At 38.4% G+C, this 26,524-nt stretch overlaps 1 long non-coding RNA gene across 1 annotated transcript in view; it reads left to right on the plus strand.

Annotated features, from left to right (window-relative positions):
* The window catches only part of LINC02699 (long intergenic non-protein coding RNA 2699), a 470,852-nt gene that overhangs the window by 373,442 nt on the left and 70,886 nt on the right, over nt 1-26,524 (plus strand). The window contains exons 3-4 of the long non-coding RNA NR_183694.1: nt 15,554-15,630; nt 21,450-21,572. This is a non-coding gene — a long non-coding RNA (long intergenic non-protein coding RNA 2699). The remainder of the gene's footprint in view (nt 1-15,553; nt 15,631-21,449; nt 21,573-26,524) is intronic.

Below are 26,524 nucleotides of genomic sequence, written 5' to 3' on the forward strand. Positions count from 1 at the left end.
AAAGTGCATTCTAATATATTAAAATTAAATGGAAAAATCACAAATTAGGCAGCATACTTTCAAATAAACCATGGTCAAAGAAGTCATAAGGAGACTTAACAAAATATTTTAATCTCAATAGAAATAAAAGCACAGCACATTAAATTTGTGTGATACATCTAATGCAATACCCCAAAGGAAATTTACAGCAACACATGGTTATATTAGAAGTGTAGCAGATCAATCATCTAAAAGTTCACCTAGGTCAGGTGCGGTGGCTCACGCTTCTAATCCCAGCATTCTGGGAAGCCAAGGTAAGAGAATCACTTAAGCCTAGGAGTTGGAGATGTTCCTAGGTAACATTGCAAGATCACAACTCTACAGAAATTTTAAAAATTAGCCATGTGTAGTGGCATATGCCTGTGTTCCTAGCTACTCAGGAGTCTGGGGTAGGAGGACTGCTTGAGCTTAGGAGATTAAGATTGCAGTGAGCCATGTTCATGCCACTGCACTCCAGCCTGGGGTATAGAGTGAGACCCGGTCTCAAATAAGTACATAAATAAATAAATAAAATTTCACTTAAAAATCTTCAAAAAGAAGAGCACAGTAAACCCAAATGAAGCATACATAAGAAATAATAAAGGTAAAAGCAGAAATTAACAAGATAGAAATCAGAAAAATATTAGGAAGAAAACAATGAAATTATAAGCTGCTGTTTATACACATCAATAAAATTAATAATTTCCTAGACAGAAAAATGTAAACAAAAGGAGAGGAGGTTCAAGTTACCAACATTAAGAAATACTAGAAGGCAGGCCGGGCGCGGTCACTCACGCCTGTAATCCCAGCACTTTGGGAGGCCGAGGCGGGCGGATCACAAGGTCAGGAGATCAAGACCATCCTGGCTAACACAGTGAAACCCCGTCTTACTACAAAATACAAAAAATTAGCCAGGCATGGTGGCGAGCGCACGTAGTCCCAGCTACTTGGGAGGCTGAGGCAGGAGAATGGCAATGAACCTGGGAGGCAGAGCTTGCAGTGAGCCGAGATCACGCCACTGTACTCCAGCCTGGGCGACAGAGCGAGACTCTGTCTCAAAAAAAATAAATAAATAAAAAGGAAATATAAGAAGGCACATTACTACTGACCCTCCAGATATTAAAACCATAGTGATAAACTATTAGTAACTTCATGCTCATTAATCTCAAATGTAAATTACATTGAAAAATTAGTAATACAAATGACAAAACTTTCCTTAAAATCAAAGGGATAAGATCAGGATAAACAAAAATATTAATTTTGTTTCTGTATACTAGCAATGAAAAATTAGAAATTAAGAGAAATTATCATTTATAATATAATCCAAAGTTGAAATACTTTCGTGTAAATTGGAAAAAAAAATATTTATAACAGCTGTGCAACAACACACTATTGAAAGACTTTTTAAAAAAAGATCTAAATATACAGAGAGATAAGATGTTTACTTATTGAAAGACTAAATGAAATGTTTAAATGCTGTCTTAGTCCATTTTGCAGTGCTATAACAGAATACTTGCTACTGGATAATTTATAATGAGTGGAAAGGTATTTGGCTCATGAGCCTGAAAGCTGGGAGGTTCAAGATCTAGGGACCACATCTGGTAAGGGCCCTCTTGCTATGTCATCTTATGGTGGAAGGAGAGAAAGGCAAAAGAGCATCAGCGAGAGCAAGATATTGAACTCAGCCTCTTTTATAAACTATTATAAAAGACCCTTTTATAATGGCATTAATCTATTCATGAGGAAGGAGCCCTCCGACCTAGACAATTTCTATTAGGTTCCACCTCTCAACACTGTTGCAGGCATTGGGGATTAAGTCCTAAAACATGATTTTTGGGAGACACATCAAATCATAGTATTCTGCCCAAGGCTAATAAAATGTATGTCCTTCTCAAATTCAAAATACATTCATTCCATCATTTCATCTCAATATCCTGAAATTCTTAACAGGTTTCAGCGCCCATTCAAAAGTCCAAAATTCAAAGTCACATCTAAATCAGATACAGATAAGAGTCAAGGCACAATTCACTCTGAGTCAAATTTTCCTCCACCATGAGCCTATAAAATTAAACACATTATCTACTTCCCAAATATAATAGTAGGATAGACACTTTCATTGCAAAGGGAATTAAAAGACAAGAAAACAAAGGATAGCTAGATCCAGATAAGTCCATACTCAAGAATGCAAACAATGTCAAATCTTAAGTTTCCTCAACAATCTTCTTTTACTCCATATCCCACCTTCTGGATATACTGCGGTGGGAGTTGGGTTTTCAAAGCTCTGGAGGGTCCACCCCTATGGCTTTGCTGGACTCAGGCCACATAGCAACTCTTATGGATTAAAGTCTTGTTTTTGCGGTTCTCCCGGTGTTGCATGTTCATAACTCTACAATTCTGGGGTCTCAAGGACAATTCTACCACCAGAAATTGCCCTAGTGGGGACTCTCTGTTGGGGTTCCAACCCCACAACCCCACTGGGCATTGTTTTGAGGGGGGTTCTCTGCAGTAGCCCTGCCCCTGTAACAGTCTGTGATAGTCTCTACCTGGGCACCCAGGCTATCCTTGACATCCTTTGAAATCTAGGAGAAAGCCATGCTTCCACAGCTCTTGCATTCTGTGTGCCTACAAAACTGTGAATGCCACCCCTTTACAGTCTGCACCTTCAGGAGCAGTGGGTTGAGCTGCACCTGGACCCAATCAAGCCACAGGGGGCCAGTTAAGGCATGCTGTGTCAGTGTATGGAAAGCACGGCCCTGTCTGGAAAGCTTTCCCTTAAGGTCCTTGGCTTGCCTGGAAGACCTCTGAAATGCCTCAGGTTCATTTTCTTATTGTCTTTATCAATAGAACCCAGCTTTATTCTATTACTATCAGTCTCTTTAGCAAATGGTTGCTTGGCCAAACCATTAGCATTGTTTATTAAACATGCTTTCTTTATTCTTTATATGGCCATGCTAAGAGTTTTTCCAAGTTTTTCATTCTGCTTCACTTTTAGTTATAAATTCTGTCTTTAAATAATTTTTGTCTTCTCTTATTTTGCTGCAAGCAGCCAAAAGAAGCCATGCAGCACCTTGAATGTTTTGCTGCTTAGATATTTGTTCTGCCAGATATCTGACTTAATCATTCCTAATTTCTGCCCCACACAATCCAAGAACATAGAAACAATTCCACCAGGTTCTTTGTAACTGCATAACAAGTATGGCCTTTACTCCAGTTTCCAATACCTTGGTTCTAATTTTCCTCTCAAATCTAATTAGAATGGCCTTGACTGTCCATATTTCTACTGACATTCTGATCACAGCTTGTAGTTCCTAACAAGATTTGCGCTCCCCCTGCAGCTCTAATTTTCCTCTGTGCTCTCACCAGAATTGCCCTTAATACTCCCCATTTATGAAAATCTGGGTTTCTTCCAGAGTACCCTTCAAATTCTTCCAGCCTCTACCTATTACCCAGTTGCCGAACTACCTGCACATTTTCAGATTTTTTTTTTATGGCAATGATCCCACTTCCTTGTACCCATTTGTGTGTGTGTGTGTGTGTGTGTGTGTGTGTGTGTGTGTGTGTGTGTGTTGTGCTTATAACAGAATACATGAGTAATTTATCATAAACAGAAATTTATTTGACTCATGGTTCCAGTGTCTGGCAAGTCTAAGACCAAGGGGCTGATCTTGGAAGGGCCTTCTAGCTGTATTGTAACAAGGTAGAAGGGCAGAAGGGCAAAAGGGCAAGCATGAGAAAGAGCAAGCAATTAAACTCACAGCCACAAGCCCTTTTATAATTTGTATGAATCTATTCATGAGGGTAGAGCCCTCATGACCTAAACACCTACCATTAGGTCCCAGTTTCCAACACTGTTGCACTGGGAATTAAGTTTCCAAACTATGCATTTGAGGGAAACACATTCAGATGATAGCAGATGCCCTTTCTCTCCAAGTTGATAAATGTTTATTTCAAACTAACAATATTTGGGGAACTTGTGTAGAAACTGATATATTCATTCCAGAATTTAATGGAAATATACCTAAAATTAAATAGCAAAGGAAAATTGAAAAGGAATATTAATGGCCTTATTCTATTTGAATTCAATATTTACCATAAATCTGCATTAATCAAGACTGTGGAATTGGCATAAAAATACAAAGATAGACTGATGGAACAGAAAATACAGTGGCGACATTGATTCGAACCCCAAACTTTCCCATTTTTCTGATGATAATTAAAAATAGTACAACTGGCATGAGGTTCCAAGATGGCCGAACAGGAACAGCTCCAGTCTACAGCTCCCAGCATGAGTAACGCAGAAGACGGGTGATTTCTGCATTTCCATCTGAGGTACTGGGTTCATCTCACTGGGGCTTGTCGGACAGTGGGGGAGGGACAGTGGGTGCAGCCCACTGAGCGTGAGCCGAAGCAGGGCGAGGCATCACCTCACCCAGCAAGCTCAAGGGGTAGGAATTCCCTTTCCTAGCCAAGGGAAGCGGTGACAGACGGCACCTGGAAAATTGGGTCACTCCCAGCCTAATACTGCGCTTTTCCAATGGTCTTAGCAAACAGCACACCAGGAGACTATATCCTGCGCCTGGCTCAGAGGGTCCCATGCCCACAGGGCCTCGCTCATTGCTAGCACAGCAGTCTGAGATCAAACTGCAAGGCGGCAGCGAGGCTGGAGGAGGGGTGCCCGCCATTGCTGAGGCTTGAATAGGTAAACAAAGCAGCCAGGAAGCTCGAACTGGGTGCAGCCAACAGCAGCTCAAGGAGGCCTGCCTGCCTCTGTAGACTCTACCTCTGGGGGCAGGGCATAGCCGAACAAAAAGTGGCAGAAACCTCTGCAGACTTAAATGTCCCTGTCTGACAGCTTTGAAGAGAGTAGTTGTTCACTCAGCACAGAGTTTGAGGTCTGAGAAAGGACAGACTGCCTCCTCAAATGGGTCCCTGACCCCCGAGTAGCCTAACTGGGGGGCACCCCCCAGAAGGGGCAGACCAACACCTCACACGACCGGGAACCCTCTGAGACAAAGCTTCCAGAGGAACGATCAGGCAGCAACATATGCTGTTCAGCAATATTCGCTGTTCTGCAGCCTCTGCTGCTGATACCCAGGGAAACACGGTCGGAGTGGACATCCAGCAAACTCCAAAAGACCTGTAGCTGAGGGTCCTGACTGTTAGAAGGAAAATTAACAAACAGAAAGGACATCCACACCAAAACCCCATCTGTACGTAACCATCATTAAAGACCAAAGGTAGATAAAACCACAAAGATGGGGGAAAAATAGAGCAGAAAAGCTGAAAATTCTAAAAATCAGAGTGCCTCTCCCCCACCAAAGGAACACAGCTCCTTGCCAGCAACGGAACAAAGTGGGACAGAGAATGACTTTGATGAGTTGAGAGAAGAAGGCTTCAGATGATCAAACTTCTCTGAGCTAAAGGAGGAAGTTCAAACCCACCGCAAAGAAGATAAAACCTTGAAAACAGATTAGATGAATGGCTAACTAGAATAACCAGTGTAGAGAAGTCCTTAAATGACCTGATGGAGCTGAAAACCATGGCACGAGAACTATGTGACGAATGCACAAGTTTCAGTAGCTGATTCAATCGACTGGAAGAAAGGGTATCAGTGATGGAAAATCAAATGAATGAAATGAAGCAAGAAGAGAAGTTCAGAGAGAAAAGAGTAAAAAGAAACGATCAAAGCCTCCAAGAAATATGGGACTATGTGAAAAGACCAAATCTATGTCTGATTGGTGTACCTGAAAGTGATGGGGAGAATGGAACCAAGCTGGAAAACACTCTGCAGAATATTATCCCAGAGAACTTCCCCAACCTAGCAAGGCAGGCCAACATTCAAACTCAGGAAATACAGAGAACGCCACAAAGATACTCCTCGAGAAGAGCAACTACAAGACACATAATGGTCAGATTCACCAAAGTTGAAATGAAGGAAAAAATGTTAAGGGCAGCCAGAGAGAAATGTCGGGTTACCCACAAAGGGAAGCCCATCAGACTAACAGCTGATCTCTTGGCAGAAACTCTACAAGCCAGAAGAGAGTGGGGGCCAATATTCAACATTCTTAAAGAAAACAATTTTCAACTCAGAATTACATATCCAGCCAAACTAAGCTTCATAAAAGAAGGAGAAATAAAATCCTTTACAGACAAACAAATGCTGAGAGATTTTGTCACCACCAGGCCTGCCCTAAAAGAGCTCCTGAAGGAAGCACTAAACATGGAAAGAAACAACTGGTACCAGCCACTGCAAAAACATGCCAAACTGTAAAGACCATCGATGCTAGGAAGAAACTGCATCAACTAATGAGCAAAATAACCAGCTGACATCATAAGGACAGGATCAAATTCACGCATGAGAATATTAACCTTAAATATAAAGGAGCTAAATGCTCCAATTAAAAGACACAGACTGGCAAATTGGATAGAGTCAAGACCCATCAGTGTGCTGTATTCAGGAGACCCATCTCGCATGCAGAGACACACATAGGCTCAAAATAAAGGGATGGAGGAAGATCTACCAAGGAAATGGAAAACAAAAAAAGGCAGAGGTTGCAATCCTAGTCTCTGATAAAACAGACTTTAAACCAACAAAGATCAAAAGAGACAAAGAAGGCCATTACATAATGGTAAAGGAATCAATTCAGTGAGAAGAGGTAACTATCCTAAATATATATGCACCCAATACAGGAGGACTTAGATTCATAAAGTAAGTCCTTAGAGACCTACAAAGAGACTCAGACTCCAACACAATAATAATGGGAGACTTTAACACCCCACTGTCAACATTAGACAGATCAATGAGACAGAAAGTTAACAAGCATATCCAGGAATTGAACTCAGCTCTGCACAAAGTGGACCTAATAGACATCTACAGAACTCTCCACCCCAAATCAACAGAATATACATTCTTCTCAGCACCATATAACACTTATTCCAAAATTGACCACATAGTTGGAAGTAAAGCACTCCTCAGCAAATGTAAAAGAACAGAAATTATAACAAACTGTCTCTCAGACCACAGTGCAATCAAACTAGAACTCAGGATTAAGAAACTCACTCAAAACTGCTCAACTACATGGAAACTGAACAACCTGCTGCTGAATGACTACTGGGTACATAACGAAATGAAGGCAGAAATAAAGATGTTCTTTGTAACCAATGAGAACAAAGACACAACATACCAGAATCTCTGGGACACATTTAAAGCAGTGTGTAGAGGGAAATTTATAGCACTAAATACCAACAAGAGAAAGCAGGAAAGATCTAAAATTGACACCCTAACATCACAATTAAAATAACTAAAGAAGCAAGAGCAAACACATTCAAAATCTAGCAGAAGGCAAGAAATAACTAAAATCAGAGCAGAACTGAAGGAGATACAGAAACAAAAAACCCTTCAAAAAATCAATGAATCCAGGAGCTGGTTTTTTGAAAAGATCAACAAAATTTATAGACTACTAGCGAGACTAACAAAGAAGAAAAGAGGGAAGAATCAAATAGACGCAATGAAAAATGACAAAGGGGATATCACCACATATCCCACAGAAATACAACCTACCATCAGAGAATACTATAAACACCTCTACGCAAATAAACTAGAAAATCTAGAAGAAATGGATAAATTCCTGGACACCTACGCCCTCCCAAGACTAAACGAGGAAGAAGTTGAATACCTGAATAGACCAAAAACAGGCTCTGAATTTGGGGCAATAATTAATAGCCTAACAACCAAAAAAAGTCCAGGACCTGATGGATCCACAGCCAAATTCTATCAGAAGTACAAGGAGGAGTTGGTACCATTCCTTCTGAAACTATTCCAATCAATAGAAAAAGAAGACATCCTCCCTAACTCATTTTATGAGGCCAGCATCATCCTGATACCAAAGCCTGGCAGAGACACCACAAATAAAAGAGAATTTTAGACCAATATCCCTGATGAACATTGATGCAAAAATCCTCAATAAAGTACTGGCAAACTGAATCCAGCAGCACATCAAAAAGCTTATCCACCATGATCAAGTGGGCTTCATCCCTGGGATGCAAGGCTGGTTCAACATATGAAAATCAATAAAAGTAATTCAGCATATAAACAGAACCAAAGACAAAAACCACATGATTATCTCAATAGATGCAGAAAAGGCCTTTGACAAAATTCAAAAGCCCTTTATGCTAAAAAATCTCAATAAATTAGGTATTCATGGGACCTATCTCAAAATAATAAGAGCTATCTATGAGAAACCCACAGCCAATATCATATTGAATGGGCAAAAACTGGAAGCATTCCCTTTGAAAACTGGCACAAGACAGGGATGCCTTCTCTCACCACTCCTATTCAACATAGTGTTGGAAGTTCTGGCCAGGGCAATCAGACAGGAGAAAGAAATAAAGGGTATTCAATTAGGAAAAAAGGAAGTCAAATTGTCCCTGTTTGCAGATGCCATGATTGTATATTTAGAAAAACCCATCGTCTCAGCCCAAAATCTCCTTAAACTGATAAGCAACTTCAGCAAAGACTCAGGATACGAAATCAATGTGCGAAAATCACAAGCATTCTTGTACACCAATAACAAACAGAGAGCCAAATCATGAGTGAACTCCTATTCACAATTGCTTCAAAGAGAATAAAATACCTAGGAATCCAACTTACAAGGGATGTGAAGCACTTCTTCCAGGAGAACTACAAACCACTGCTCAATGAAACAAAAGAGGACACAAACAAATGGAAGAACATTCCATGTTCATGGATAGGAAGAATCAATATCGTGAAAATGGCCATACTGCCCAAGGTAATTTATAGATTCAATGCCATCCCCATCAAGCTACCAATGACTTTCTTCACAGAATTGGAAAAAACTAATTTAAAGTTCATATGGAACCAAAAAATAGTCCACATTGCCAAGTCAATCCTAAGCCAAAAGAACAAAGCTGGAGGCATCCCGCTACCTGACTTCAAACTATGCTACGAGGATACAGTAACCAAAACAGCATGGTACTGGTACCAAAACAGATACAGACCAATGGAACAGAACAGAGCCCTCAGAAATAATACCACACATCTACAACCATCTGATCTTTGACAAACCTGACAAAAACAAGAAATGGGGAAAGGATTCCCTATTTAATAAATGGTGCTGGGAAAACTGGCTAGCCATTTGTAGAAAGCTGAAACTGGATCCCTTCCTTACACCTTATACAAAAATTAATTCAAGATGGATTAAAGACTTAAATGTTAGACCTAAAACCATAAAAACCCTAGAAGAAAACCTAGGCAATACCATTCAGGACATAGGCATCGCAAGGACTTCATGTCTAAAACACCAAAAGCAATGGCAACAAAAGCCAAAATTGACAAACGGGATCTAATTAAACTAAAGAGCTTCCGCACAGCAAAAGAAACTACCATCAGAGTGAACAGGCAACCTATAGAATGGGAGAAAAGTTTTGCAATCTACTCATCTGATAAAGGGCTAATATCCAGAATCTACAGAGAACTGAAACAAATTTACAAGAAAAAACAGCCCCATCAAAAAGTGGGCAAAGGATATGAACAGACACTTCTCAAAAGAAGACATTTATGTGGCCAACAGACGCATGAAAAATGCTCATCATCACTGGCCATCAGAGAAATGCAAATCAAAACCACAATGAGATACCATCTCACACCAGTTAGAATGGCAATCATTAAAAAGTCAGGAAACAACAGGTGTTGGAGAGGATGTGGAGAAATAGGAACACTTTTACACTGTTGGTGGGACTGTAAACTAGTTCAACCATTGTGGAAGTCAGTGTAGCAATTCCTCAAGGATCTAGAACTAGAAATACCATTTGACCCAGCCATCCCATTACTGGGTATATACCCAAAGGATTATAAATCATGCTGCTATAAAGACACATGCACACGTATGTTTATTGCAGCACTATTCACAAGAGCAAAGACTTGGAACCAACCCAGATGTCCATCAATGATAGACTGGATTAAGAAAATGTGGCACATATACACCATGGAATACTGTGCAGCCACAAAAAGGTTGAGTTCATGTCCTTTGTAGGGACATGGATGAAGCTGGAAACCATCATTCTCAGCAAACTATCGCAAGGACAAAAAAACAAACACCGTATGTTCTCACTCATAGGTGGGAATTGAACAATGAGAACACTTGGACATGGGAAGGGGAACATCACACACCGGGGCCTGTCATGGGGTGGGGTGAGGTGCGAGGGATAGCATTAGGAGATGTACCTAATGTAAGTGAGGAGTTAATAGGTGCAGCACACCAACATGGCACATGTATACATATGTAACAAACCTGCACCTTGTGCACATGTACCCTAGAACTTAAAGTATAATAAAAAAAATAGTACAACCATTTGTGAAAACAATTTTGTCAGTTTCTCCTAAATGTTTTCAGGCACTAAGCATGTATCCCAGAAATTCTACTTGTAAGCAATTATTCATGTAAACTAACATAAAAGTATAAACAGCCATTCATAACTTCCCATTGCATATTTATTTGCAATAATGAAAAAGTAGAAACCGTGCAGATGTCCATGAAATAAAAAATGGTCAAATAAATTATAGTTGCAGTATACAAATTGTGGTATATATTTACAGTAGAATACTACTCAGCAATAAAAATTTATGTACTACTGATATATACAATTGTGCAGATGAATGTCAAAAACATTTTGCTGAGCTATATGTAGAGAGAGACCCTATATATACACATATATATGTCATATATACATATAGATTCCATTTATATAATTTTCTAGGGAAATTATGATCATTCTATAGTTACGGCAGATAAGTTATTGTCTGGAGCTAAGAATGGGAATCTGACTTCAACAACACCTTAAGGAGTTTTTTGCCATGATGGAAACATTTCATATCTACTATATGCCCCTCAGTTGCAATTTGTCTGATGTATTTCTTCATGATTAGATCAGGGTTAGATGGTTTTAGGAGGAAGACCACAGAGGTGAATAGCCAGTCTCATCATATCATATCAAAGGTTTGTGCTATCAACATGACTTGTCATTAGTGATGTTAATCTTGATCACCTGGGTGAGCTAGTGCTTGTCATGCTTTTCTACTGTAAAGTTAAACTTTTTTCTTTCTACCAAATTTTAAAAGCAAGTCATTAAGAATAGTTTCTTATAAAACATGACTCATGATTTTGTAAGCACTTCCTTACCTTTTGACATTACAAGAGGGCCCATGCACAGCTTGTATATTCCCCCTACTCTGAATTGGCCTTTTCTCAAAGTCATCTGGCTCCTTTTGTTGAAAAAATAGCATTTAGAAACCAGTATCTGGGTACTGGGTGTGCTTGTTGCAACTGTGTTGTCACTTTAGCCTTCATTTTAAGGGACTTAAAATAATATTTATCTCTACTTTTCATGAAATTAAGTAAATGTATTCAAACATCTTAAACTGCATATAAAAGGTAATATCTTCAATTTTATTTTTAATACTTGGTTTAAATAACTGAAGATAATCTGAAAGGATGTGATTTTGTTTCTGGAAAGCAGAGGGAGCCTGTAAACCCCAGTAGTCTCTTCTTAATAATAGATATCTGCACCTTCTCCACCTGGTCATGCTACAGAAAGAGGGCTAACAGGAGATTAATGTGAGTGACAAACCTCTGTTGGGTACTAAGACTAGACAAGCAGAAACTGGTACCATTTCAGAAATTAGTGTCTTCACAACCAACTCCAGGAAGTTGGACTTACCAAGACCTTCCAGAAACAGGTCCTCTAGGCCAGCAGTCCCCCACCTTCTGGCACCAGTTTCAAGGAAGACAAGTTATCCACAGACAAGGTTGGGGAGACAGTGATGGTTTTGAGATGATTCAAGCACATTACCTTAATCATTAGATTCTCATAAGGAGATGCAACCTATATCCCTCACATGCACAGTTCACAGCAGGATTTGTGCTCCTGTGAGAATCTAATACCGTTGCTGATCTGACAGGAGGTGAAACTCAGCTTCACGTGATCATCCACTGTACTGCTCACCTTCTGCTATGCAGCCTGGTTTCTCACAGGCCATGGACTGGTACATGTCTGTGGCACGGGGGTTAGGGACCCCTGCTCCGGGCTACCGGTGGTTTTTGTCCCATTCCTGAAATAGGTCAAGTACTCCATATTCCTTAATGAAAATACTGAACTAGGATATCTTTCACTTCTGATAAATGAGAGTGTGTAAAATTGATCTTGTATAGGTTTATGGTCTCAGCCTGGTTCCTGGATATTATAAAATATGACCACTATGAAATATACTTCAAAATGGAGCCCTGAGGCAACTTGACCGATGAATGAAAGCAGTCTCATCTGTTCTGTGTGATTAATGCCCTAGTGGTGTCTCCTTGCAAAGACACACAGACTTCCAAACAAATGCTCAGTCTGATACCCTGTTAGAAGAATGTCAAGCTAAACCAGTACATTTGGATCACTTCCTCTACCCCAGGGATTTTATAAACAGCTGTCACTTCAACTTTGATACAACTTTCTTGTTTCTTATCATAAAGGGACTCCACCTGATATTTACTTGAAATATAAAACCTGTCATCACTGGGTTTATGAGTAAGCAGGCTCACTCTTCTGGTTCATTTTTGAGATTTATTTGTAGGCAGTATTTATCACAAATGAAGAACACTTCAACTTTTAACTGACCAGGGAATTGCTTAACTTTATTTTTTTTTATTATCTCTAGCAGTCGTTTTTACAACTGTCATTTGAGAATTATTACAAATGTAATGCTTTTAAATAATAGTTTTTCTATTATGTTTTGAAAAGCTCCCTAAATCATTCTAATGAACAAATTGAGTAGTAAAATAATCTCCTTCTCCATTCCCGGGGAAGTCTGGAGTATATTTAAACTTTGCAGATTTTTGACATGGTAAAGGCAGAGGTTCAGAAAAGTGATCTTAAATCACAGGCACAAGTGAACAATAAATATTAGAGCTAACACTTGATATACCCTTTTTGTGGCACTATTCTGAGCATTTTATATCAATTATCTCATTTAAGCCATTCAATAACCATATGAGGTGTTATATACTTTTTATTAGTATGGAGGCAACTGAATCACATGCAAAATTACACAGCCAAATCAGTATTAATAATCAGGCATCTAGTTAAAAACTTCATCCATTATCCAGATAAGTTCAATATAGGACAGATCCTGTTCTCTTTGTTCACAAGCCCAGCTCACCAGCTCCTCCCTATCCCATGTCCTCTCTGGGAACGTTGAGAAGGCACATAAATTGTGCACAAGAGAATATAGCCACTTAACACATCTCTGATGCCAGGTGTTGTAGACGGGTGTTAGATAATCCCAGGGTAGACTGACTTTGCAGAGAATCTCCCTGAGTGTCACAGAGATCTCCTCACCCTGAGGGACATAAGTAGTTTTGCTGAACATTTGTAGCCTTTTATAGTCATTTTTCCTTAACAGGAGGAGGCAGATAATCATGAGAAGCAGCACCACTGGTATATTCACGGAGAGGACACATTAGCAGCCTGTGTGTTTCATAGTTTCTATAAACCTGTGTATTCAAGGAGATAGGCATTACGAATAAAATCTCTGTTCAGATCATCTCAGAATCCAAGTAGCATGTTAATATCTGTGAATTTTAGCAACATAACTATTACTAAAAGTTCTGGAGATGCTGATAATTCCTTTTTGCTGATAATTACTTTGTCCATATTAACAGGTCAGGGAGCATCAAGTGCATGAGTTATTACCATCTTCTAATATGTTCCTGATACAAATGGAGTAGCTGGTGTCTGAAGCACAGGCTCTGGCAAAGTGCCCTGAGATTGGGCCCTCAGTCTTCTTTCCCTAACAGTCAGGGGTGGATCTGATTACTAGATTTCCCACCATATGCCATGTACCACAACATCTTCATCTATGTGGGACCTTGGGATGATTCTTAAATGAAATTTATATAAAGTCAATTTTAAGGCATGTGGGAAATTGTCTTTCACTTCACTATGATTTTCATTGTTTTCTTTAAATCAATAGACTATTTCAGAGAATCAAGAAAAATAATATGACAGTGGAAGCAATTTAGCCCATGTTATTATTTTGCCACATTTGTTTCAGAGTTCACAACTGCATCATACGAGAAGCAAAACATTTGTTATAAAAACTCCCATTTATTTATATCTTACTTTCTTTAAAACTTGCTTTCTCTATGTATGTTACCAGAGATATCGAGTTACTGTAAACATCCCTATGCCTTCTATTTTAAAGTGTGTATGACAAACACTATAGGATTTTGTATCTGTCTTAGGATGTCTGTAGAGAGCTGTATAGCGTGGCATCTCTTTTAGCTCTTCTTTTAATGAGAATCCAGTTGCTCTGATTGTCCAGAGAGCACAGTGCCAAAATTGTACATGTGATAAAAGGCATGCAATGTGCCCACCTCAATGACATTCCCCACAGCAGAAAACTGTTCATTTTCATGGCCTTTAGGACATTATGAGAGACAGAAAAGCAATAGTGTCCAAACCCAAACATATTTTGTGAAATGGTGTCTGGGTTAGCATTCTATTGCTGCACAGAAAATTACTACAAAATTAGTGGCTTAAAGCAATACACATTTATTATCTCACAGTCTCTGCGGGTCAGAAATCTGGGTAACTTAGCTAGATGTTCTGTAACTATCTCAACATGCTGTACTCAAGGTGTTAGCCAAGCTATGAAACTAGAAATGAGAAAGGAAAAATCTGCTCCAAGCTCATTCAGATCGTTGGCAGAATTCATTTTCTTGTGATTGTATGAGTGAGGTCCTCAGTTCCTCAGCCTCCAGTTTCCTGCCACATGGCACTGTCCATTGGTGGTTTATTTCATGGCTGTTCATTTCTTTAAAGCTAATCAGAGAATCCTTCTCTTCTGTCTGCTAAGATGGGAATCTTATACAGTGTCATGTCATCATGAAAGTGACATCCAATTGCCTTTGGCATATAATGCTAATCCAGAAAGTGACATTTCATTACCTTTGCCATGTTCAAGTTATTAGATACAAAGCATAGGCTTCACCCATACCCAACGGGAGGAAATAATAATAGGGCATAGCACTAGTGGCTGGTGATCATAGAGACCATTTTAGAATTCTGCCTACCATGTTGCCTATCATAGTCTGAAAAGACTAAACCCATTATTTTAAAGGAAAGAAATATGCAAAAAGAGGATTTTTCTTGTTCAAAGTAAGAGCTAATAACTTGCAAAGCAGAGACAAGAACTTGCACCTGTCTATCTCCTAGTCCATGGTGTGTCAAATTTTGTTTTTCATAAAGGGCCAGGTAGTAGGTATCTTATACTTGAAAGGCCATCCAGTCTCTGTCACAGCTGTTCAACTCTGCCATTGTGAAGAGAAATCAGCTCAAGACATTAATGGGAGTAAATGGATGTGGCTGTATTCTAAGAAAACTTTATTTTCAAAAACAGGTGGCAGGCCTATTTGTACTGCAGGCCAAAACTTGACAGGTCCTCTCCTAATCCAGTGATCTTCTTTTTCAACAGCATGCATTTGTATGTGAGTGCCAGTGCGGGTCATCACAGCTTGCATCCATTTCAAGTCTTCATCTAACATACAGAAGGTAATTCAGCTAAATTTTTTTTCTTACATCTGCTCCCCTAAGTGGTGTCTCAGCAATTTCAGATGTCCTGCCCCGGAGATGCCTGCTATCAAACTTGAGAACAATTTATTTAGATATACTCCTAACAAACACTGGACAATTCACAGCCCAGTTCACAGCCCAGTTGGTTATACAACTGAGAAAGCTAAGTGTCAATGAAGCTAAAAACCTTCCCAAGATCACATGCCTAGTAAGTGGGGGGATTCAAGACTGTAGTATAAGCCTATTTGACTCCAAAACATATTACTTTGCCAATTATTCTCGCATGGCCAAATAGAAATGAGTCACAAGGATGTTGTGAAGGTAAGAATATCATTGGTTGAGAAAGGTCTGTCTCACTTCTTATTGGAACCTAAGAATCTGGAAGAGAAGGAGTTTTTAAGGTTTGAGGTCAGAGTCATGAAATAGTCACCCAGTAGGCTGGAAAAAAAGAATGTGTTATATTAGAAAAGCAGAATCTCTGGACAGCACCAGTGGCATATTTGAGGTCAAATGTCATGAATTTGATGAGATCCTTCCTCAATTTGATGAGTTTTTTCTTAATCAAGTCCAGGTATACTAATGAGGTGGAAATAAGCTGAGAGTTGAATTTGACAAGAACTGGTATTTCCCAAGTAAGCAAAAGGAAGGGACTTGTGGGTGTACATAAGGCATTGATAATAGAGGACCAAGGGATTTAATCAGAGATAGAATCAGGAGATATAAGCACATATATTATTATGATTGGATTTTACCACATGCTAGCCGTGTAACCTTGGAAAAATCATGTGGAATCTTGAATCTTCCTTCTGTTTCTTTATTTTTAAAACATCAGTGAAAAAGAATCTTGCTTTGCTAGAGTGGTTGTGAATATTAAATGAGGTAATTTCTGTGCAGGTACTTTAAAAGTATATGAAATCCAGGAAATAGTGGATTTCATTTGGGAATGTGGGAGATTAATTGAAGTTGATACATGTATGAGAATTCTGTTTCTTCAGGTATAACCAGCTAGTGGGTCCAAAGAAGAACTTCATGTCTGCAGTTTCTCAAATCTCCCTGACCCCTCTCCACTTGCCAAAGCACCTGGTGCTTCCTCATCCCATGCCTACACACATGAGCTGTCTCATATGTAATCAAAAATAAATCCTTCTTTTATAAAACACTGTGATGGAAACTAGAATTCTTCTAGGATCTTTTTGGTGCTCTTAGAGTCCAAAGCCCAGTTTTGAGACTTGGCTGGTTTTAACTTCCCTCAGCAGTCTCGGCATTAGCTTCTCTAATGCCCTACAAACAACCAGAATTGTGCCATCACAAGAATTTAGAAAGATGTACTAGAATAGGCTAAATTACAGCCACCCACAAAGGCATCCATGCCCTAATCTCTGGAATAATAGAATAAGTTGCTTGACATGGTGATATGATTTGTCTTTGTGTCCCCACCTAAATCTCACCTTGAATTGTAATAATCCCCAGGTGTCATGGGAGGGACCCAATGAGAGGTAGTTGAATTGTGGGGACGGGTTTTTCCCTTGCTGTTCTCGTGATAGTGAGTAAGTCTCATGAGCTCTGATGGTTCTATAAAAGGAAATTTCCCTGCACATGTCCTCTTGTCTGCCACCATGTAAGATGTGACTTTGCTCCTCCTTTGCCTTCTGCCATGATTGTGAGGCCTCCCAGCCATGTGGAACTGTGAGTCAATTAAACCTCTTTCATTTATAAATTACCTAGCCTTGGGTATGTCTTTATTTGCAGCTTGAGAACAGACTAATACACATGGTAAATGGAACTTGGCATATGTGATTAAGTTAAAGATATTTAGGTGGGAGATTATGCTAGATTACCTGGATGGACCCAGTGTAATCACAAATGTCCTTAAAAACGGGAGGCAGGAGAATCAGAGGAAAGAGAAAGAAAGAGAAGACAGAAGCAGAGACTGGAGTGATTCAGGAGCCAAGAAATGCCAGTACCCTTTTACAAGCTAGAGGAGGCAAGGAATAGATTTTTCACTGGTGTCACTAGAAAGGACCAGCCCTGACAACACTTTATTTAGCTCACTGATACTGATTTTGAATTTATGACTTCCAGAATTGTAAGACTGTTGTTTTAAGTCATTAAGTTTGTAATAATTTTTTACAGTGCCAATAGGAAACAAGAAACATATATCCAGTGGGCATAGTCTAAATTCTCTGTGGCTACACTACACCGAGTACAGGGATGTGTCAGGGCTGTCACATCATTTCTGGAAACTCGTCTGTACTTTTCTTTGAAATGCAGATTAGACACCATGGGCCATAATTCTACCTCTCTCCGTCTCTTGTCCTGTGGTGTCCCTTTGCAAATACACAGTGATAGCCCAATTTCCCTCCATTCATTGACTTGCAAAAATCGTCTGTCTGCTGTAGACAGAAACAATCTTCCATTCTTCTGTCTTATGGAGTAATAGCCAAAAAATCCAACAAAGCCTCAGTACTGCCTTTCTCCCCCAAACCTACCCTCCTTCACTCAAGTTTCCCTGGCCAGTTTTCTCTCCTCTTACTTTTATAGCTGCTATTTAACAATTTTTCCCTTTGCTCAAACGTCCATTTCCAAGAGCTCTTTCTCATTTTTTCCTACTGTTAGTTTAAAAACATGTTCTTATCTGCCTCCTCTAAGTAAGCTGTACTTGACATTTCAGTGTCCCCAGTTATTATTTATTTTGCCTTTTATTCCTAAAGTTCCCAGATGAATTGCCTACATACATAAATTCCTTCTATTTCCTCACTGTTTACTTTTTTTTTTTTTTTTTTTTTTTTTTTTGAGACAGAGTCTCACTCTGTTACCCAGGTTGGAGGGCAATGGCCCGATCTCAGCTCACTGCAACCTCCACCTCCTGGGTTCAAGCGATACTCCTGCCTCAGCCTCCTGAGTAGCTGGGATTACACCACACTCAGCTACTTTTTGTATTTTTTTAGTAGAGACGGGGTTTCACCATATTGTTCAGGCTGGTCTCAAACTCCTGACCTCATGATCCACCCACATCGGCCTCCCAAAATGCTAGGATTTAAGGGCATGAGTCAATGTGCCCAGCCTCTGTTTACTCTTAATCAAATTCTTAGGAACCTGCTTTGTAGTCCTGAACTTAACAGAAACTTGTTGTCACTCAAACTGAATGATACTTACACAGTCTCCATCCTCCTCTTGAACCTCCTTTGAGCATCATCTTCCCCTCCAGGAAATGTGGGATGGAGATTAAGAGCATGGGCTCTAGATTTATATAGACCCGAACTGAAATTTCATCTCCACATTTAACATTTATGAGCCTCTGTCTCGTCATTTAGATAAGGATGGTAACTTTCATCTCACATAGAATTGCTGTGAGAATTAACTGAGATGTGTATATCAAGTGCTCAATAGTACTGTGAGAATCAGTTGGGATACTGCAGATCAGGTGTTCAAACCACTTTTTGTTATCCTGACCTCATTTTCTTTGCATCGTTTTCCTATGTGGGCTTCACTGATATTGCTGAACTTTGTACTTCCAACTGACTCACTAACAAGTATTTTACTCTCCTAATTCCCCCTGGCATTATCTATTGACCACTTTCTGTAAATGAGCCTTGCCCCAAGCTTTGTACAAGTTTGTGTGGTCTCACAACAACCCTGGAAGTAGATATTATTACAGTCATCATTTCACAAATGGACACATGATAGAAAGGATAGGCTACTGAACATAGACACCTCCCTAGCCAGTGCCAGAACCAGCATTCAGATACAGGCATTTTGCATCAAGACTCCCTAACTTTTATACTACTCCTTTGCTCTGAAATTCTGTGTATTTCCAGGGCTCTTTCTTTTACTCTTTTTCCGTAAGCTAACTTACTTCCTTCTCTTAGCTCATCTACTCACAGATGTTTGTTATCTAGGTAGACATATCCAAAATCTCAATCTCCAGCCACAGTTTCACGGAACTCAATGTCCTAAGTTTTCATTCCACAACAAAAGAGCTACAAGAATACTTGAGACCTTTTCCTTCAGTGTCCTGTTAGCCCACTCGTCCCCTCAATTAGACAATTAGCTACTGCCTCAAGCTTATGAAAGACATAATTGCCTCTTAAATTCAGTCCCCAATTCCCTACTAATTTTTCTTTTTTTCACTGATAGCACCAGTTTGTCATGTCCTTCTGCCTCTGCAATTTTGCTCTTGCCTATTTTTTTCTGACCTCAATGCCCCTCATCCCACCACCCTTGCTCCGGGCTGTCTTCTAATTGACTCTCAGATTTTTCACAGGCCCACTGTCCTGACTCTACAGGCCACCTGTCACCCTTGCCCTAAAATTTTCATTTTCTAGCCATCACAGCAGCCTTATTTCCTCATTTTATAAGGTCAGTTGTTGATTATCACCGTTGTGATGTTTGTAAACAGTACATCTGCTTCTGGATACAACTTGTGAGCCATGAGTTTACAAACATTAGATTATAAACCTGTAGCTAGAGCTGGAAGGAGAAAGATTTTGAGAAAAAGGAGTGCCACAATAATAATAGCAAATGAGATCTATTTACTTATATCACTATTTAAAAAATATGTATTGAATGCCTACCATAAGCCAGATACTAGTTGTTGGGATAAAGCAGTGGAAAGAATTACACAAAATTCCTATCCTCATGGAAGTGTTACCCTAGATTGTAAAGAAAGATAAAACAAAAAAGTCACAGTTTTGTCACATGGAATTAATGATAGGCAGTCTAAATTATGTAAGAAAAATATGGAGTGAATCTTTAAACATGTTACTGCTATTTTCTCTAGGCTGGTCAAAGAAGACATCTCTAATAATGTGGTATTTAAACAGAGACCTGAAGGAGCTAAGCTAGCAAATATATGGGGATGAGTACCCCTCCTGCTGCCGAAAGGCAGGTTGCTGCTTTAGAATTAAACTCTCCAATAAAGAGTCCCCAGCTACATGTGACTATTTACAGTTAAATTAATTAAAATTAAAATTTAGTTCCTTACTGACAGTATACACATTTTATGTACAAAATAGTTACATGTGATTAGTATCAGTTGCATTGGGCAGTGCATTTCCATCATTGCAGAAAATTCTACTGGACATTGATGGTTCCAAGCAATAACAATGCGTCCAGTTATGCTGACGCAAAATGAGTTAGATGGAGTGTGGCAGACAATGAGGCCAGAAAAATAGTGAACTGAAAGATTACAATGTCTTGTAGATCCTACTAAAGACTTTATATTTTATCCTGTAGGACATGAAGAAAATTTTCTCAGAAGTGTAACATAATCTGCTTCTTATTACGAAGGATCTCTCTAACTGCTGCCTAAAAAAAATTATCTCTAAAGGAGCAAGGATGAAAACAGGGAGAATATTAGGAAAACTATTAAAATTGTCTAGGGTAGAGGTGATGGTTGCTGAGACGAAAGTGGCAGTAGTGGACATGAGGGAATGCTGGTTATGTTCTAGAAAGTACTTAAAACCACAATAATTATATTTTATTATGGTTTGGATGTGGTGTGTAAGGGAAATAAATAATCAGGAAACAACCCAAGATTTTTGCCTTGAGAAACAGAAAAATAATCAGGTTTCATTTTTGAATTGAATCATGAGTAGACAATTGAAGGAGATGTACATTTATTTTTTATTGCTATTTAGTTTTTGCATTTGGAGTTCAGAAACTCACAAATTTGGTTTTGGCATATTTGGCTTAAGATACACATAAAATATTTCAGTAAATAAGTCAAGCAGTGGAGATGACATCAGTAAGGTGATAGAATATGAGTTTTCAACCCTCATTCCCTTGTTCTTTCACAGAAAAAACACTGATTTTGACAACCACCCATAGATGACAGTACGTTTTGGGAGGCCAGGAGTCCAGTGGTAAGGTCCCAGCATACCACTGGAGCAAAACATCTGAGAATACACACGTTAAAGAAGGTAATAACTTTCACTTTACTCACATTATCACTACCTCAAGGTGGAGAAATCCCCCTGGGCACTTGATTTTTCCCATGGCAGAGAGTGAGAGTGTAGTGGGCACTTGTCTCCCCAGCAGTTAGGACACTGCCTAAGAGTCCCATTACTTTCCCACCCCATGCAGAACACTGAGGAGATCTGTGTGGCTGGATAGTGTACAGGCAGGTAGGAGCAGGAAAACAGGACAGGAGCTCATAGCAACAGGGATATGGAACTCAACAAAATTCCACAGTTTCTACTAACTGCTTGTCAGACTCCACCAAGAGGTCCATGCCTGATCTGAGTAGGATGCATAACTTGTAGATGCCCACTACTTAGCCCATGCATGCTCCCAACATGATGCACATCCCTCCCTTCCCTGTGGCCTGTGCTCCACTTGTGCCTCCACTAATGGCACTGTAAAACTTTGCAGATTGTACATGAGGTCACAAGGACAGGGAGCTCAACACTGTTGGATTGGGAGAAGGTGCTTAACCTTGAGCACGTCAAAGCACTACCCTAGGGAAAATAAACTCAATGCTCTTAAAATCCGACTTGGCTTTTTGGGATCAAGAGCAAAGATACAGTCTTAAGACTTAGTACTGCCAACAAGGAGCAAACAGAATGCAGGGGTTACATTGACATAAAATGTCTGAGGTGCCCCTAGAATCCTTAGCCAGACTGACTCACAGTTATGTCAGATGGAATTAATGATATGAGGTGAAGGTCTTTATCTTCTGAAGGTATTCAGTAAAGACTGGAGGAGGAGGTAACTTCTTCAAATGTCAAGACAGTAATCCAAGACTTCAGAGAACACAAATGACATCACAAAGAGAACACAATAATTTTTCAGTAACAGATCTCAATGAAATTGGAATATATGAATTACCTAACAGAGAATTCAAAATAATTGTTTTAAGGAAGCTTACCACAGTACAAGAAACAATACAATTCAAGAAAGAGATAGAGGTCATAAAAAGAACCGAACAGAATGCAATGAATGAAATGAAAAACAGAATCCAATGAATGAAATGAAAAAATGCAACAGAGATCTTCAACAGTGCACTTGATCAAACAGAAGAAACCGTGAACTCAAAGACAGATCCTTTAAAATCAGTCAGTCAAAGGAGAAAAAAACGAAATAAAAAAAGAGTGAATAATGCCTGTAAAATTTATAAAACATCATCAACCAAAACAATATGCAAATCATGGGAATCCTAGAAGAAGAGAGCGAAAGAAATGGAAAGCTTAATTAAAAAAAAAATCTGAAATATTCCTCCCAAATCTTGAGAGGGATATGAACATCAAGCTTCATGAAGTTCTAAAGTCCTCAACTAAGTTCAACCCAAAGAAGATTACACCGAGACACATTTAAATCAAATTTTCAAATGTCAAAGACAGAGGAAGAATTTTGAAAGGAACAAGAGAAAAGCAACTTACATACAAAGAACCATCACCCCCAATAAGGCTATATTTGCAAAAACTATGAAGGCCAGTAGAATCATATATTCATTGTGCTTAAAAAAATAAATAAATAACTTCTAACCAAGAATACTATACCTGGCAAAGCCATCCTTTAAGAATGAATGAAGGGGAGACATATACTTTCTCAAAGTACATATCTGAGGGAAATAACCTAGACTTCCCTCACAAGAAATGCTAAAGGGAGTTCTTCAAATTGAAATGAAAATACTCTAACTAGTAACATGAAAATAGTTCAAAATATAAAGCTCAATGGTAAAAGTAAATATATTATCATATTCAGAATACTCTAACACTAAAATAAGGATGTAAAAATTACTTTAAACTCTAATATAAAATTTAAATTATAAATGTGATAAAAAGCAATCATAACTGCAAAAGTGTTAATGGACATACAATATAAAATGTTGCTATTGGGACATCAATAATGGAAAATGTGAGGTGGAGGAGAGAAGTAAATGTGTCGGGTTTCTGTATGCAGTTGAAGTTCAGTCATTATCAGCTGTAATTAGACTGATATAAGATTATGTTTGTGAGTCTGACAGTAATCATAAAGAAAAACCTCTAGTAGATACACAAAAGATAAATGTAATAAAATCAAAGCATACCACTACAAAAAATTATTAAATCACAAAGGAAGACAACAAGACAGAAAGGAGCTACAGAACAGTGGGAAAACAATTAACAAAGTGGCAATAGTAAGTCCTTTCATAGTGACAATTACATTAAATTATATGAATTAAATTATCCAATTAAAGTACATAGAGTATCTGAATGAATTAAAAACAAAGAACCAACAATGTGTCCTTAAAAGAGACTCTTTTTAGCTTAAGGATACACATAGGCTGAAAGTTAAGGGAAGAAAAAAGAAACCTCATGAAAATGAAAACCACAACAAACACAGAGTAGCTACATTTACGTCAGACAAAATAGACTTAAGTAAATACTATAACAAGGAACAAAGTTATTATATAGTTATAAAGGGGTCAATTCATCAAGAAGATATAACAATTATAAACATATATGCATCCAACATTGGAGCACCTAAGTATATTAAGCAAATATCAAATAGAACTGAAAGGAGAAATAGCAAAATAAAAATATTAGGGGACTTCAATACCCCACTTTCAACAATGGATAAGTTATCCAAACATCAATTTAATAAGGAAACTGTGGACTTAAATATAAATGTAGGAAAGTAGTATATTAGCATTGAGTATTTTCTCACAGATTTTTCAGCCAAAAATCAGAGTATATTCTCTAATTGGTATCAATAAAATGTTAGTGGTATGAATAAACTGGGAAAATTTGATTTTCAATAGGGTTCAAGTAATGGCAAGAAGGTCACAAGTCTGCCTATTGTATTAATGCTATAAAAAATTTATGTTTTTTAATGATTCATTGATGGGACCTCAGCAGTAGGCAGGGGGCCTAAGAAATAAATGAAAGTTTATGGAGCATAGGAATGCCATTCCACTTATATAGAAGGGATCTGAGGAGTCTCAAAATTTACAGTGTCTAATGGGCATAGCAAGCTTAAGCATGATTTGCAACGGCATGAGAAGTTTGGAAAGAAGAGTGTCATCTCAGATGGTATGGACTGCTATAACAAATTACTATATACTGGATTCCTTGTAAACAACATAATTTGTCTCTAAAATGCGTATATATAGCCTCATTTGTTTATAGGACTAACCAAATGAGATAATGGATATAGAGGTCTTAACATATAGGAAACACTTAATAAATGCCAGGGGTTCATAGCTAGGTAATAATAGCAAACTATTTTAAACTATACTCCTGTTCCATGTGATACTTAGTTTAACTGAAACTTCTGACAATTTATCAAATATGTTATATAGATACATTATAGATGATGTAATTAGATATATATGTAGACATATAGACAATGAGTTCATTCGGAACAGCAAACTTCTGGGGGGGGCAGGAATATGTCTTCATTAACTTTAGAGACTGCATTCCCTTATACACACACCACATTCAATTCACACACACACACACACTTCAGAATGTACACATTCTTGAAAAACAAAATTTGTCTCAATCTTTCTGAATATTAGCATAAGGACATTTTATAGCTGTATACACTTTTGTTTCTTCATTTTTATATGTTAGTAAACATATATGGAAGGCCTATGAGGTAGAATGCACTAAATTAGATATTGAATATTTGACAGAAACTATCCTTACTCACAACTGAATGAAAATAGGCAATTAGTCACAGAGTGAATTAAAATAATTCCTAGTTAATGGAAGTTATACCAACTTAGAGCATATATGTACATCTGTATATTATAATATAAACATACACAATGATTTATATATGAAAGATTAAGTTCAGACATTTTACATGAAAGAACATAACAGCTATTGCCCTGCCTCCTAACTTAGACAATAAGCATGTAAACTCAACATACTGGGGCAGCGTAGCATAGGTTCAAATCCTGAATTCATTACTTACCAGTGTTGTTGGGCAAACCTGGAGTTCCTATGCTTTGGTTTTCTCATTTATAAAATACAATAAAACAATAAAATTCACCTCCTAATGTTAACATTTTAATGATTCGCAAGTGCACAAGATATGTTAGCCATGATAATAAGTTAATGATGGCAGAGATTGCATTATGCTTCTGCTTTCAAGAGAAAATGTGAAAACATACAGTGTTGTTGATGAAAGTAGTCACACAGCATTTATAAGGCATTTGTAAAAAAATACAAATAAAAAAGTAAATAAAATGAAAATGAATGCAAAACACACTACATTTTAAATGTATAAGCATTGGTTCCCTAATACGAAAAGAAATGCAGACTGTAAATCTAAACTTTGTAGATAATTTGCCTCAGCCAATCAAGATGTCACAGTAATATATCCTGGAAAATTGAAGTTAGTGATTGAGAAAGAGCACTACTTATAGAGGAAAGAACAATTTTACTGGCTTGCTTTGCATTTGGGTGTCTTCTACAAATTTAATTTACTCTGCTTTGTGTACTCTAAGGTGAGAGAATTGAATTCAGGGCTGAAGCATGGAAGTAAGGAAGGTCATTCACTAATACTCAATTGTGAATAGGGCATAGGATATATGGGACTGATTAAAAGCTGGAGGGTGGACGAGCCAGATTGTAAAACGGCCATATTTGGACTTGATCCTGTAAATGCTGAGTAACTAAGCAGGCCTCCCAATTGATAAATTTCAGGATTTAGATCAGTGATTAAGAGAGGAGGTAGCCAGCAATGTGGTAGGAGATATTGGGCTGAGGCAGGAAGTCAGAAGCAGAGTGAAGAGGTGGGGGCTATGGTACTAGGCCTAATAATTGATGATTGAGGCCAAATGAGGCAGAAGATCAGAAGCAGAGTGAAGAGGCGGGGGCTATGATACTAGGCCTAATAATTGATGACTGGGGCCAAATGAGGCAGGAGATTTGAAGCAGAG

The sequence above is a fragment of the Homo sapiens genome, chromosome 11 (genome assembly GCF_000001405.40).
Source record: "Homo sapiens chromosome 11, GRCh38.p14 Primary Assembly".
Lineage (NCBI taxonomy): Eukaryota > Metazoa > Chordata > Mammalia > Primates > Hominidae > Homo > Homo sapiens.